Source organism: Homo sapiens, chromosome 7 (assembly GCF_000001405.40).
Source record: "Homo sapiens chromosome 7, GRCh38.p14 Primary Assembly".
Lineage (NCBI taxonomy): Eukaryota > Metazoa > Chordata > Mammalia > Primates > Hominidae > Homo > Homo sapiens.
In genome coordinates this window covers 119803098-119815851 of record NC_000007.14, presented here as the reverse complement: position 1 = coordinate 119815851, position 12754 = coordinate 119803098, and the positions used below count along the sequence as shown (strand labels likewise).

The 12754-nt window shown below is 31.5% G+C and overlaps 1 long non-coding RNA gene across 4 annotated transcripts in view; it reads left to right on the top strand.

Moving 5' to 3' along the window:
• The window catches only part of LINC02476 (long intergenic non-protein coding RNA 2476), a 287946-nt gene that overhangs the window by 91524 nt on the left and 183668 nt on the right, over positions 1–12754 (top strand). The gene's annotated exons all lie outside the window — the stretch shown is intronic.

The window sequence follows — 12754 nt, the reverse complement described above, 5'->3', positions numbered from 1 at the left end:
ATGAGCTTACTTTTAGGTGAAATCTGAAAATGTCAAACTTGTAAAAGCAGAAAATAGAACAGTGGTTGACATTGACTTGGAAGGGGAAAAAGAAGAAATGTGGTGAAGTTGGTCAAAGGCTAGAAAGTTTTAGTTAAACAGAATGAATACGTTTTGGAAATCTATTATACAGCATGGTGACTATAGTTAATAATAATGTATTTTTATTATAATAATTTATACCTGAAAATTGTTAAAAGAGTAGATGTTAAATGTTTTTACTACAGAAAATGATTAAGTATGTGAGGAGATGGATATGTTATTTAGCTTGACTTCTTCATTTTGTAATCTATACATATATCAAAACATCATGTTGTACACCAAAAATATATACATTTTAAAATTTGGCAATTATACCTTAATATAGCTTAAAAACATAACAGAAGTAAAAATAATCTCAAGCCTAAATAAATATAGAATGAGTATAGTCAACAACAGTAACATGACAGTCAGCTGATAAATGGAGATAAATTATGTAAAGTTCTAGTATTGTCTATCAATCAGTAAAAGTAATAACTTGTAGTGTAATAAATAAGTGATGCATGTTTTATTCCTTAGTGTAGCCACTAATGGAAAGTAAAACACAATAGGAATAATACATTCAATAATTTAGAAAAGAAGTAATTCAAAATAGATGTCCATGAAAGAGGTAAGAGAAACACACACACAAAAACATAGGGTAAGACAGTCATAGAAAACAGAACATGAATACATTAAATGGTAATGTACTAAGTAGAATAAGATCAGATTGGTTTTAGAGCAACGTTTTCTTCTTAAGATTAATGCTAAATCAAATTCATAAATTGGACAATTTAATTTTGATTTAAAGTTGAATTATATACATAAATTGAGTAACATAACATTTGAGACTATATTTGTTAGTGTATTAGTCAGGTTTCTCTAGAGAGACAGAACTAATGGAATACATTTTTACATATATGAGGACTGCATATATATATATATATATGAGTTTATTAAGTATTAACTCATATGATCACAAGGTCCTACAAAAGTCTGTCTGCAGGCTTAGGAGCAAGGAGAGCCATTCCAACTTTCAAAACTGAAGAACTTAGAGTTCCATGTTAGAGGGCAGGAAGCATCCAGCATGGGAGAACGATGTAGGCTGGGAAGCTAGCTCACTCTCCCTTTTCACATTTTTCTGCCTGCCTATATTCTAGCCGTACTGGCAACTGATTAGATCGTGCCCACCCAGATTAAGGGTGGGTCTGCCTTTCCCAGCTCACTGACTCAAATGTTAATCTCCTTTGGCAGCAACCTCACAGACACACCCAAGATCAGTATTTGTAACCTGCAATCCAATCAAATTGACAATCATTATTAACCATCACAGTTAGTAACTTCCTATTCAAATACTGTATGTATATATGTATACATGCAGAAAATTATAGTTCTCAAATATAAAGCATGATGAATTTGCAAAACTTAATATACCCATGTAAGAACTCATCCATAGCAGAATATTATTATAAAACTGAAAATGTAAATATAATGGTTTGAAATGTTTTTTATAATTTAAATTATAATTTCTTCCTTAACCCATAGATTATATAATAATTCTATATGCAATAGGAGACTTTTCAAATTTTTTTTTAAATCGTCTATGTCTAGTAGGATCTCTGTTGTATCAAATAATAACTTCTGAATGATTGAAAGCCTTTGATATTTTTTGCGGCTTTTCTTACTAACTAGCATATTGTTGACTTTGGTAAACAATCCATAGGCCCTTGAAAGCATTTGAATTCTGTAGAAATTGAATATATATTTTTATAGTGTCAGCTAGTTCAAGTTTCCCAATTGTGTTATCAGATCTTTTAAAACCTTAATTAATTGTTTTTATTTTTTTAAGAGAAGTCCATTTATAATTCATGATCATATTGTAGATTATTTAACTTTTTCTTTTAGTTCTGCCAAGTGATGATTAATATCCTTTGAAGCCATTTATTGTAAGCTTATAGATTGAATATTGTGATGTCTTACTGTAGGATTAACTTTCTTATCATTTTGAAATGCCAATCTTTCTCAATTAATTTTTTTTCCTAATTATTTACTGGGTCTACATTTGTATAGCTAAAAAGATAAACTTTGGTCAGAGTTTTCATTATAGTTTTTTAATGAACATTTGTGCTTATTCTTTCTACATCTTTATAGTTTGAGTGTGCCTTGTATTATGCATATAATTGTGATGCTGTTTTCCCAGACTCAAATCTTATTTTTTTTTATTTGGAATAGTTAGTCTACATATATTTTAATTACTAATATAGTTCGTTGTATATTTAGCATTTTTCTACTTGTTTTCTCCTTAACCCACCTATTTTCTGTTACTCTTTCTCCCTGTCATAGTATTAATCACATATTTTATTATCATATTTTTCTAGTAGTCCATTTGCTACTTGCACATTTTTGTTATGATTTAGTGGTTACCCTACAGCAGATTATTTCATTCTTGGTACTGTTGATATTTTAGTTGAATAATTCTTTGTTGTGTGGGTGCTATTGTGTTTTGTATGATGTTTAAAAGTATTCCTGACTTCTACTCACTAGATGCCTGTTAAGTACGCACTTCATCTCCCATTGTTCCATCCAAAAGAGAGTTTTACACATTACCAAATATCCCTTGGGGACAAAATTTCCCCTCAGCAAGAGCCACTACCTGAAAAATACAATATTCATTCTTGAATACTATAGTCAATGAAAATTATTTATTTTGACGATCCTATGATAAAATAGAATATTGAAACACTTCAAGTCCAATTACTCCTTTCAACTTTGCATTATATTTTCACGTATTTCAATAGCACACATATTTTAGTCTCTACTATGTACATAAATTGATGTTAAGTCAATATTAAGCCAATATTGATTTAAATCAATTTAAGTGAATATGGAGTTATCTATAGCTACACGCACACACACACACACATACACACACACACACATATATACAATGTCTACCTTTCTTTTATTTATTATACTCCTGAGTTTAGTTGGTTTGGACTGTTAAAATGTACCCTCTACCAGAAGAACTTCCTTGGATATGTTTTTAATGCAGAATCACTTATAACTTTTTTCAATTTTTGTTTGTCTGCAAATATCTTTATTATATCTTCATTTTTGAGAAAATTTCACTAGGTTTACAATTATAGCAGTTATTTTCCTTCAGTACTTTAAATGTGTTATTCCATTGTCTTCCAGCTGTCGTTGGTTGAGTTGTGCAGTCAGTGCAAGGCATCTTAAATCTCTAGGCTGCATTTAAGTTTTCCCATTTTTACTTTGGTTCTTGAAAGTTTTTCTATAATATTCCAAACCTCTCTGCATACCATGAGGTTGATGAATCTGTAGGTTGATGTCTTTTAGTTTTGGAAAAATCCTCTGCTGTTACATATTCTAACAATGCTTCTGTCCCAGATACCATCCTGGTCTTAGTATTTGAAGCCACACATTTCTTAGCCTATTGTGCATGTTCTACATATTTTTTACACATCATTTTTTTACATTATTTTGCTCATAGAGCATCAGGTGGTACCCTTTTTTTTTGGCTCATGTTTCTGATGACTAATCCTGTGTTTAGCTTTGATCAACTTACTTTAAGACATTGTTGAGTTGATAATATCAAATATTATAAGTTTTAGCTCTATAATGACTTTTCTGTAAATAAATGCTAATTGCTGGGTAAAATCATCCATCCTTTTATGTGTTTTATATATACTTTCCATTATGTTGTTTTTATTGTACAGGCATACCTCATTTTTTCACGCTTTTCTTTATTGTGCTTCACATACATCGTGACTTTTAAAAATTGAAGTTTTGTAGCAACCATGCATTGAATAAGTCTATTGGTGTCATTTTTCCAACAACATGTGCTCACTTTGTGTATGTATCATATTTTGATAATTCTCACAATATTTCCATTTTTGTTATTATATCTATTATGGTGATCTTTCATATTGCTATCGTAATTGTTTTGGGATGCTACAAACTGCACCCATATAAGATGGCAAACTTAATCAATAAATGTTGTATGTGTTCTGACTGCTCCAGTGACCAGCTGTTTCCCCATGTCTCTCTGGCACCTCAGGTCTTCCTATTCCCTAGACACAGCAATATTGGATTTAGGCCAGTTAGTAACTCTACAATAGTCTCTAAGTGTTCAAGTAAAGGGAAGAGTCACACATCTCTCTCTTTATGTCAAAGCTATAAATGATTAAGCTTAATGAGGAAGGCATGCCAAAATCCAAAATAGGTTGATATCTAGGCCTCTTGTGCCAAATAGCTAGCCATGCTGTGAATAAAAAAAGAAAATTGAAAGTGATGCCCCAGTGAAGACACAAATGATAAGAAAATGAAACAGCGTATTGTTGAAATAGAGGAAATTGTAGTGATCTGGATAGAAGATAAATCCAGCCACAACATTCCTATAAGCCAAAGCCTAACTTCAATGAAGACCCTAACTCTTTTCAATTCTATGAAGATTGGGAGAGGTAAGGAAGCTGCAGAAGGAAAGTTGAAAGCTAGCAAAGGTTGATTCATGAGGTTTTAAAAGAAAAATCCATCTGTATATCATAAAACTGCAAGGAGAACCAGCAAGTGCTGATGTAGAAATTGCAGCAAGTTATCCAGAAAACCTAGCTAAGATAATTTATGAAGGTAGCTACATCAAAGATTTATAATGTAGATAAAACAACCTTCTTTTGGAAGAATTTGTCATTTAGGACTTTCATAGCTAGAGAGGAGAAGTCAATGCTTAGTTTCAACCCTCAAAGCATATTCTGACTCACTTGTTAGGGGCTAACACAGCTGGTCAAATAAAGTTGAAGCCAGTGCTCATTTGTCATTCTAAAAATTTTAGGCCTCTTAAAAATTATGCTAATTTAACTTTAGCTGTGCTCTAGAAATGGAACAATAAATTCTGGATGACAACACATCTATTTACAGCATGGTTTACTGAATATATTAAGCACATTTTGGAGAGTACTTCTCAGAAACAAAGGTTTTTTTTTTTTCTTTTTTTTTCAAAATATTACTGTTCATTGACCATGCACGTAGACACCTGAGAGCTCTGATGAAGATGCACAAGGAGACTAATGTTGTTTTCATGCCTGATAGCACAACATCCATTCTGCAGCCCATGAATCAGGAGTAATTTCAACTTTAAAGTCCTTTTATTTAAGAAATACATTTGGTAAGATTATAGCTGCCATAGATAGTGATTTCTCTGGGGGATCTGGACAAAGTTAATATAAAACCTTCTAAAAAGGATTCAACCATTTTAGATGCCATTAAGAAAATTCATGATTCATGAGAGGAGGCCAAAATAACAATACTAACTGGAGCTTGGGATAAATTGATTTCAACTCCAATGGAAGACTTTAAGAGAATCAAGCCTTCAGTACAGAAATTAACTACAGATGTGTTGGAAATAAGAGAAGTAGAATTAGAAGTGGATCCTGAAGACGTGACTGAATTGCTGCAATCTCAAGATAAAGCTTTAATGCATCAGAAGATTCTTATGAATGAGCAAAAAAGGTGGTTTCTTGAGATAAATCTCCCAATGAAGATACTGTGAACATTGTTGAAATGACAACACAGATTTTGAATATTATATAAACTTTGTTGACTAAGCAGTGGTAGGGGTTGAGAGGATTCACTCCAATTTTCAAAGGAGTTCTACTGTGGGTAAAATGCTACCAAACAGCATTGCATGCTACAGAGGAACCTTTTGTGAAAGGAAGAGTCAATCAATGCTGCAAACTTCTTTGTTGTCTTATTTTTAAAAATTGCCACAACCACCCTCACTTTCAGTAGTGACCGCTTTGATCAATCAGGCACCATCATTGCAAGACCTTTAATCAGCAAAAAGATTACAATTTGCTGTAGGCTCAGATTTTTATTAGCATTTTCTAGCAATATACTATTTTTAAATTAAGGTATGTACATTTTTGACATAATGTGATTGCACACTTAATAGACAATACTATATTGTAAACACAGCATTATTTAAACTGGGAAGCCAAAAAAATGTGTGGCTCACTTTATTGTAGTATTAGCTTTATTGCAACGATCTGGAACTGAACACACAATATATCTGAGACATGCCTGTATATTATTTTTAGTTATTTCAAAGTCATTTTTTAACATTACTTCCTGCATTATTTGTTATGTTAATGATCCTGTATGTTTTTATACTTGGTAGTCAATATATCTTTGTTTCTTTGCATGTTTGACAATTCTTAACCATATCTATGCACCTTGTATAGAAGAACTATGGAGGCCCCAATAATGTTATCATCTACCAGGGAACATCCCTCTTTTCCTCCATTATACAAACACAATGAGAATCTGAGCACATTGATAAAGCTTCAGATTGAGCTAGGTCTTGGCAAAAATACAGCCTTGGTAAGTTTAGATTTTCTCCTCCTTATTTTTAAGAGGCTGGCAGGATCTGTTGTTTGTTTTTATTTGTTTGTTTGTTTTCCTTTGCTTTTCCTACTTGTTCCTGAAAGACTGTGGGAAATTCAGTTCTGCCCATTAGATATTTTCAGCTTAACTCTTTAGCTTTTGGGATTTTCAGCCTTTAAATTATAGCAAATAAATTAATGATAGGACTGATAGTGTATTTACTTGAGATTTCTTTCATATCCAGCGTTTTTTGCTCCATCTCTACAGAACCTCTAAGAGTTATTTCTTCTTGCTCTATCAGCTTACTTTCTCTACCAAAGCAAGAGTTTTAGCCCAAATCCAAGAAGCTCTGACACACTTATTTAAAATAGAAGTGGCTGCATGTTGCTTAGCTCACCTCAGAAGATATTTTCCCTTTCTGGAATTTTAGTTCATTTAACATTTTTTTTCATAGCTCTCTGGATGCCTTTAAATATGTCTTTAAGATAAAACCCATAGTTTTCTCTATAAGTCAGTATGAGTGTTTAACTGCTAGAACATTCTGTCTTGAAGCAGAGGTCTCTCATAAGTATTTTAAGATAGAAAAAAGACATAGATGAAGTCACCTGACCATGACCTCACAGTTAACACTATATTTCAGTGTAATGGTAAAGATCAACACAAGTCTTCAAAACTGAATTAAGTTCTGTTGACATTACAGCATGATTTGTGGAAAGTAAAATATACTGCTGACTACTAATTATTACTTGAAATAATGTTAATTAGCCTTACATGTAGAGAAACTCTAAATTTTAGAAAAGATTGACCTTTTTATGTTTTAATGTTTAATTATATTTTAAATATTATTTACTGTTGGTTTATTTAAATTACATTGCTGGTTTTATTTCTTACCCAAAAGATAGAATTTTAAGATAAAGCAAGTCATACATCTTACAAAACAATTTTGAAATTCATGTGGGTCACCAGATTCAATATGTTTTATGGCCATATATATATATGGAGAGAGAGAGAAAGAGAGAGAGAAAGTTGAACTTTTTAAATTATGCCTGCAAGATAAAATGTTTGTTTTAAATCATCTATAATGTTTACCAATTCTTTAGGTGTTGCAACAAGAGAAATGACTAAAATTGTAAAGGTGAAATTTGAAAAAACAAAAGATTTATGTATCATAGTGACAGAAAATAAAATTGGATAAATGTTGCCAAAATCAAAGTATTTCATATAATAACTCTTTTTCTTACTATAGGATAGAATTTGTGTTTATTTTATCTCAGGGTTTAATTCTATTACTATTGATCAAAGCTCAATTGTTAGCTGAGAGGACTGTAGAAATTGGAGTACTCAGCTTGCGAATAGTCGATAGGTAAAATATTTTGTTTTGCTCTTTACGTATTCTGTTCAAAAAATTACTTCATCATTAGTATAGGGTATATATATGAAAGAGAGGAAAATGACAAGATAAACATACCAAGGGTCACAGGAATTAATGTACAACCATAATAAGCTGGGATAGTTACTATTTACAAAATGTTAAACTGTGGCCTAAAATTGTAACTTATACTCAGTCTAAGAATACTGATTATTTAATGGCCATAGGTTAGAAAACAATACCCTTCCATATTAATTTTCCCAATGTTTGTTTCTAATTCAAGATTTGTCAATTAACTTAGAGTATAATAATAGTATCACAACGGATAGCAAGGAATGTTCTTCACATGAATGGCAACCGCTCTTCAACTGAAAAGCCTACTTTGAGGTTAAATGTGGGAAAATGAAAGATGTCTCTACGATTTGTTTATTTTTTTCTTGGGTTGAAAAACATTGAATTTAATTTGATGCCACCTTTGGTTGTACCTTTTGATCCAATATCTAATGTTCTGAAAATAATTCATATGTTTTTTATTTAACCTACATCTCTAGGATACTTTTATAATTTTCATTTATCATTTAAGGAATAGTATAGATTATCTGGAAATATTACTCACATATTTCTTACTTGCTTCTAGGTCTCTTCTCAATCCTGACTTCCTTTGCAATATTTAATTGAAACAGGGCACAAATATAACTTAAAATAAAATTTAATTAGAAAATACAGATAGTGGAATGAAGATATATTTCACTGGAACAGAATGTAATTAAGAGAGCCATGAGAGAATAAGCGGGACAGAGACAGAACAAAGAAAGGGGAAGAAAAGCCATGTAGAGTAGTCTGAAGAAATCAGGACAGCAGATTGAGTCAGTCCTCTTGTAAGTAGAATGATTCTTTAATTAGCAAGACCATGGATGAATAATCAGGGAATAGAAAAGGTGTTCTATGTTCCAATGATCCCAAGCGACATTTCTGAAATTGCTTGAATATATATAAATTATACCTGCTTGAAAATAGAAGTTTATTAAAGTTAATTAATTCAAAAAGTAAGAAAAATTTCCTTTTTGGTAGTTAGGCTTATACTTTGCAGAATCTTCTAATACCATTATAAAAGTCCCTTGTTTTGTGCACCGAGAGTTTGTTTTGACATATGTCTTTACTGTGGAGATACTTGAGTAATACAGTAAAAGATGATTTAAACACCCTTTGGGATATAAAATTATGCAGTGCTTTGTATACACGCTTAACACACATTTAATAATTTTAACAGTTTTATTTAACACACACCATTAGGGCAGATATGATGATAATCTTGATTTGTTTTATTATACAATTCAAATTTATAAATATGTTTTATTAATTTAAAAGTGATATAGTTTGTATTTTAATCAAACAGATAGTTAGTAAAAAGTGGCTGCCCCCTGAAAAACTTTTGAATATATCTATTTTTGTGTTTCAATATTTGCAAGCATATCCCTTTATAAAATGTCAATAATGTATGTTAAGGTAGAATTTACTTGAAATATACTCTGAGAAAATGTCTAAAGCCTTTAATTAGATGTAATTTTCTCACATTAGGTTTTTCTTTTAAATGAAGATCATTTGAAAATTGTATTTTGTAAATTATTTTTATATTTGTATTTATTTCAGTACAATTTTTATTTATTGTTAATATGTGTTAGCTTTCCATCAGATATTTTTTAACTGCATGATTGTCTTCAATGGGACAAACAGCTTTAGACAGTCTAATTATTTTAATCATCAAATTACAAACATATATATTTAAAAAGCATCTTAGTTATCAAAGACACAGTCTAGTAGACAACTGTAAAGAAGAAAGACACCATGGCAGGATCATGTTTTTGAAAAAGCCACTTTCTGGGCACTGTTTGCCAGAATCAGGACCACGTCACATTATTAAAGCCAACACACAGTACGATAGCTGGTGCATGACTAATATTAATACCATTGAAGAGGTAAAAATGGATAGTCACTTCTGCTAACTGGAAAGAATTTGTGTTTATATAGCATGAAAATCAATAAAGGCATTTAATGTTGGTAGATCATTTAATGTTGGTATATCAGTTAAGAATCTGTCTTTCTGGTACCACATTGCACCTTAACCATTTCCCATGAGCATATTAATAGAAACTTTGTTATAGACTAACTTACAGATAGGAATAAGCACATATTCCCAGAAAACTTCTGGGAAAATTGAAGGTGTATGCCAGTAAAAGATGCTTTTAAAAGACAGGCATGTCTTAAAGAGACTGTCTTCTAAACACATAGTTTTGGGAGATTTTTTAAAAAGGCAAAGTGAAAGAAATAGCCAATCTTCAGCAAAGAAAAAGAAAAACAAAAGTTGAAAACCACAAAATCAGAGCTAACCTCTCTGGTGTTGTGGGCAACCCATACCCACCACTAAATTAAAGAAGCAAACAAACAAAAATATTGCCAATAAAGTACTAAACTAACAGAAAAAGGTGCCAATAAACTAGAACTCTTGTAAAACACACTAATATAAAAATATTTTAAAATAAAAAAAAGTTGATGTAAGCAAGGAGACAATTTCACACATCAAATCCTGCCCCTTTCCACATTTGATAACAATGTATAAAACCTAGGTGAAAAAATATTTAAAATACTGTTAAAATGTTAAAAAATAATAACGGATTTGAACAAATGGAATAAACACTGTTCTTGGATAAGATTTTAGAATAAAGATATTAGGTGTCTCTAAATTAATTTATAAATACAACCTAACTCCAATAAAAATTCCAACCAGCTGTTTTTGGAGTTGAAGATGATGATTCTGGAGTTTATAAGGAAAACCAAACATTCAAATCAATAATAGCCAGGTAAATACTGGGGAAAATAAACAGACAAAACATAAAACTATGATGTGTTGGTGGTATTACGGGTTTAATTTTGTCTCTCATTAATATATATGAAATCGTAACCCTTTGGAACATCCATGTATGACATTTGGAAATAAGGTTATTGCACATATAATTAAATCATAATGGAATAGGTTGAACCCTTAATCTAATATGACTGGTGTCATTAAAAGAAAAGATACAGAGATAGACTCACAGGGAGAATACTATGTGTTGATGGAGGCAGAGATAGTAGTAGTATGTCTACAAGCTAAAGAGTGCCATGGATGTGTAGCTTCACCAGAAGCTAAGAGAAGGGCATGGAACAGTTTCTTCTCTAATACCCTCAAAGATAGCATGGTCCCTCCAACACTTTGATTTAGGACTTCTAGCTTACATTATTGTGAGAGAATAAATTTCTATTGTTTTAAGCTCCCCAGTTGGTGGTACTTTGTTACAGCCGCCCTAGGATCAAAAGCTCTACTAATACCAAAACACAGTATAAATATTTGCTGTAATGAAAACAGTGTACTACTGGCACATGGATACATATATGTCTATCACCTATCTATCTATCTATCTATGAAATTTGAGTAATTGACACAACAAACATTTGAAATCACTGGAGAAAGATGAGCTTTTAAATAAGTGGTACCATAACATCTGACTGCCTTTAGATAAAATGTCTCACACCATACATAAACTCCAGATGGATTAAGCCTCTAAATGCAAAAAAAATTTAAACCATAGAAGACTAGAATAATAGATGGGCAAATTCCTCTTTAAATGTGAAGCAGTACAAGTCTTTGTAATATGACTAAAAATCCAGACAATATGTGATTTACTGTGGCTACATAAATATTAAAACATTTGCATGACACAAATAAGTAAAGTCAAAAGGTAATTGACAAACTAGGACAAAACATTCAAAATATACAATAAACAAGGAGATTTTATTGCTAATAGATAAAGAACTCAAAAAGTGAAAGAATTAAAGATCAAAGATCCAGTAAGAACGTACATATCTTCAACCTTCTTGCATTTTGCCAATTATCTTAGTCTCACTTTTTTGGTGTGAAAAGAGTGTTTGCTGGTAAGGACTTTTTGCCACAGAAGACCATGTTTTAATATTGAATCAAAGTGAGAAATGAATTTGTCAAGAAAACTTTTGATAGAAATAAAGCCAAATAATTATAATAATGCTAATTGTAAATCACATTAGCTTAAGCAAGACAAGTCAGAGGTGCTTTAAAGAGCAGAGACAAATAGAGGGGTTGCTTGAGAAAACAGGAGTGTGAATTTAATATAGAAAACCAAAGCGTGTGTGTGTGTGTGTGTACACATCTGAAATGTTTACATCTGACAGCTTTTATAGATATGCATCGTATGTATCTTCTAATGGATAGTTATATAAATTATGAATTTATTAATCTAAGTGAGGATTTCAGTTATACTGACCAGCATCAATTTTAGGCCAAATGTAGAACATGTAGTGCATAGTGACTTTTGATGCTATCAATATTCCCTTAATCCCAACTATCAAATTCAATTCTTTTTTTCTACTCTTTAAAGTCTGTTGTAATATCAGTTCACACACACTAAATATTTCTTGACTGATTATGGCTTAGAAGACTGTCAGAAGGGCATTTTCATTATGCAAGGTATTTGAAGTATGAATATCTTGGGTCAGATATTTGAGGGACAATATGGAAGCTCTCAGATCTTCCCAGAGGTCTTGAGAACCATGTTATGGTATCCCCTTACCCCTGAGGGAAGATGCCCTGTGCACATTTAGTTTAGCCCAAAGGATGGTTATACATATCAACGGCTTTATTTCTCAATCTACTTGAAGAATGAACAGTTTCTGAGTCATGCTATCTTTCCTCCAACCACCTTTGCTCTATTTTAATTCAAAAATTCTAATTTTCCCTATAGTTTGTAGCTACTTAATTAGATTAAATAATATCCACTTACCCAGCTTTAATAAAAATGAATTTTGACAAGTGTCACATCATAAATGGAATATATTTCATTCTTCAACTTTCTATGCTAA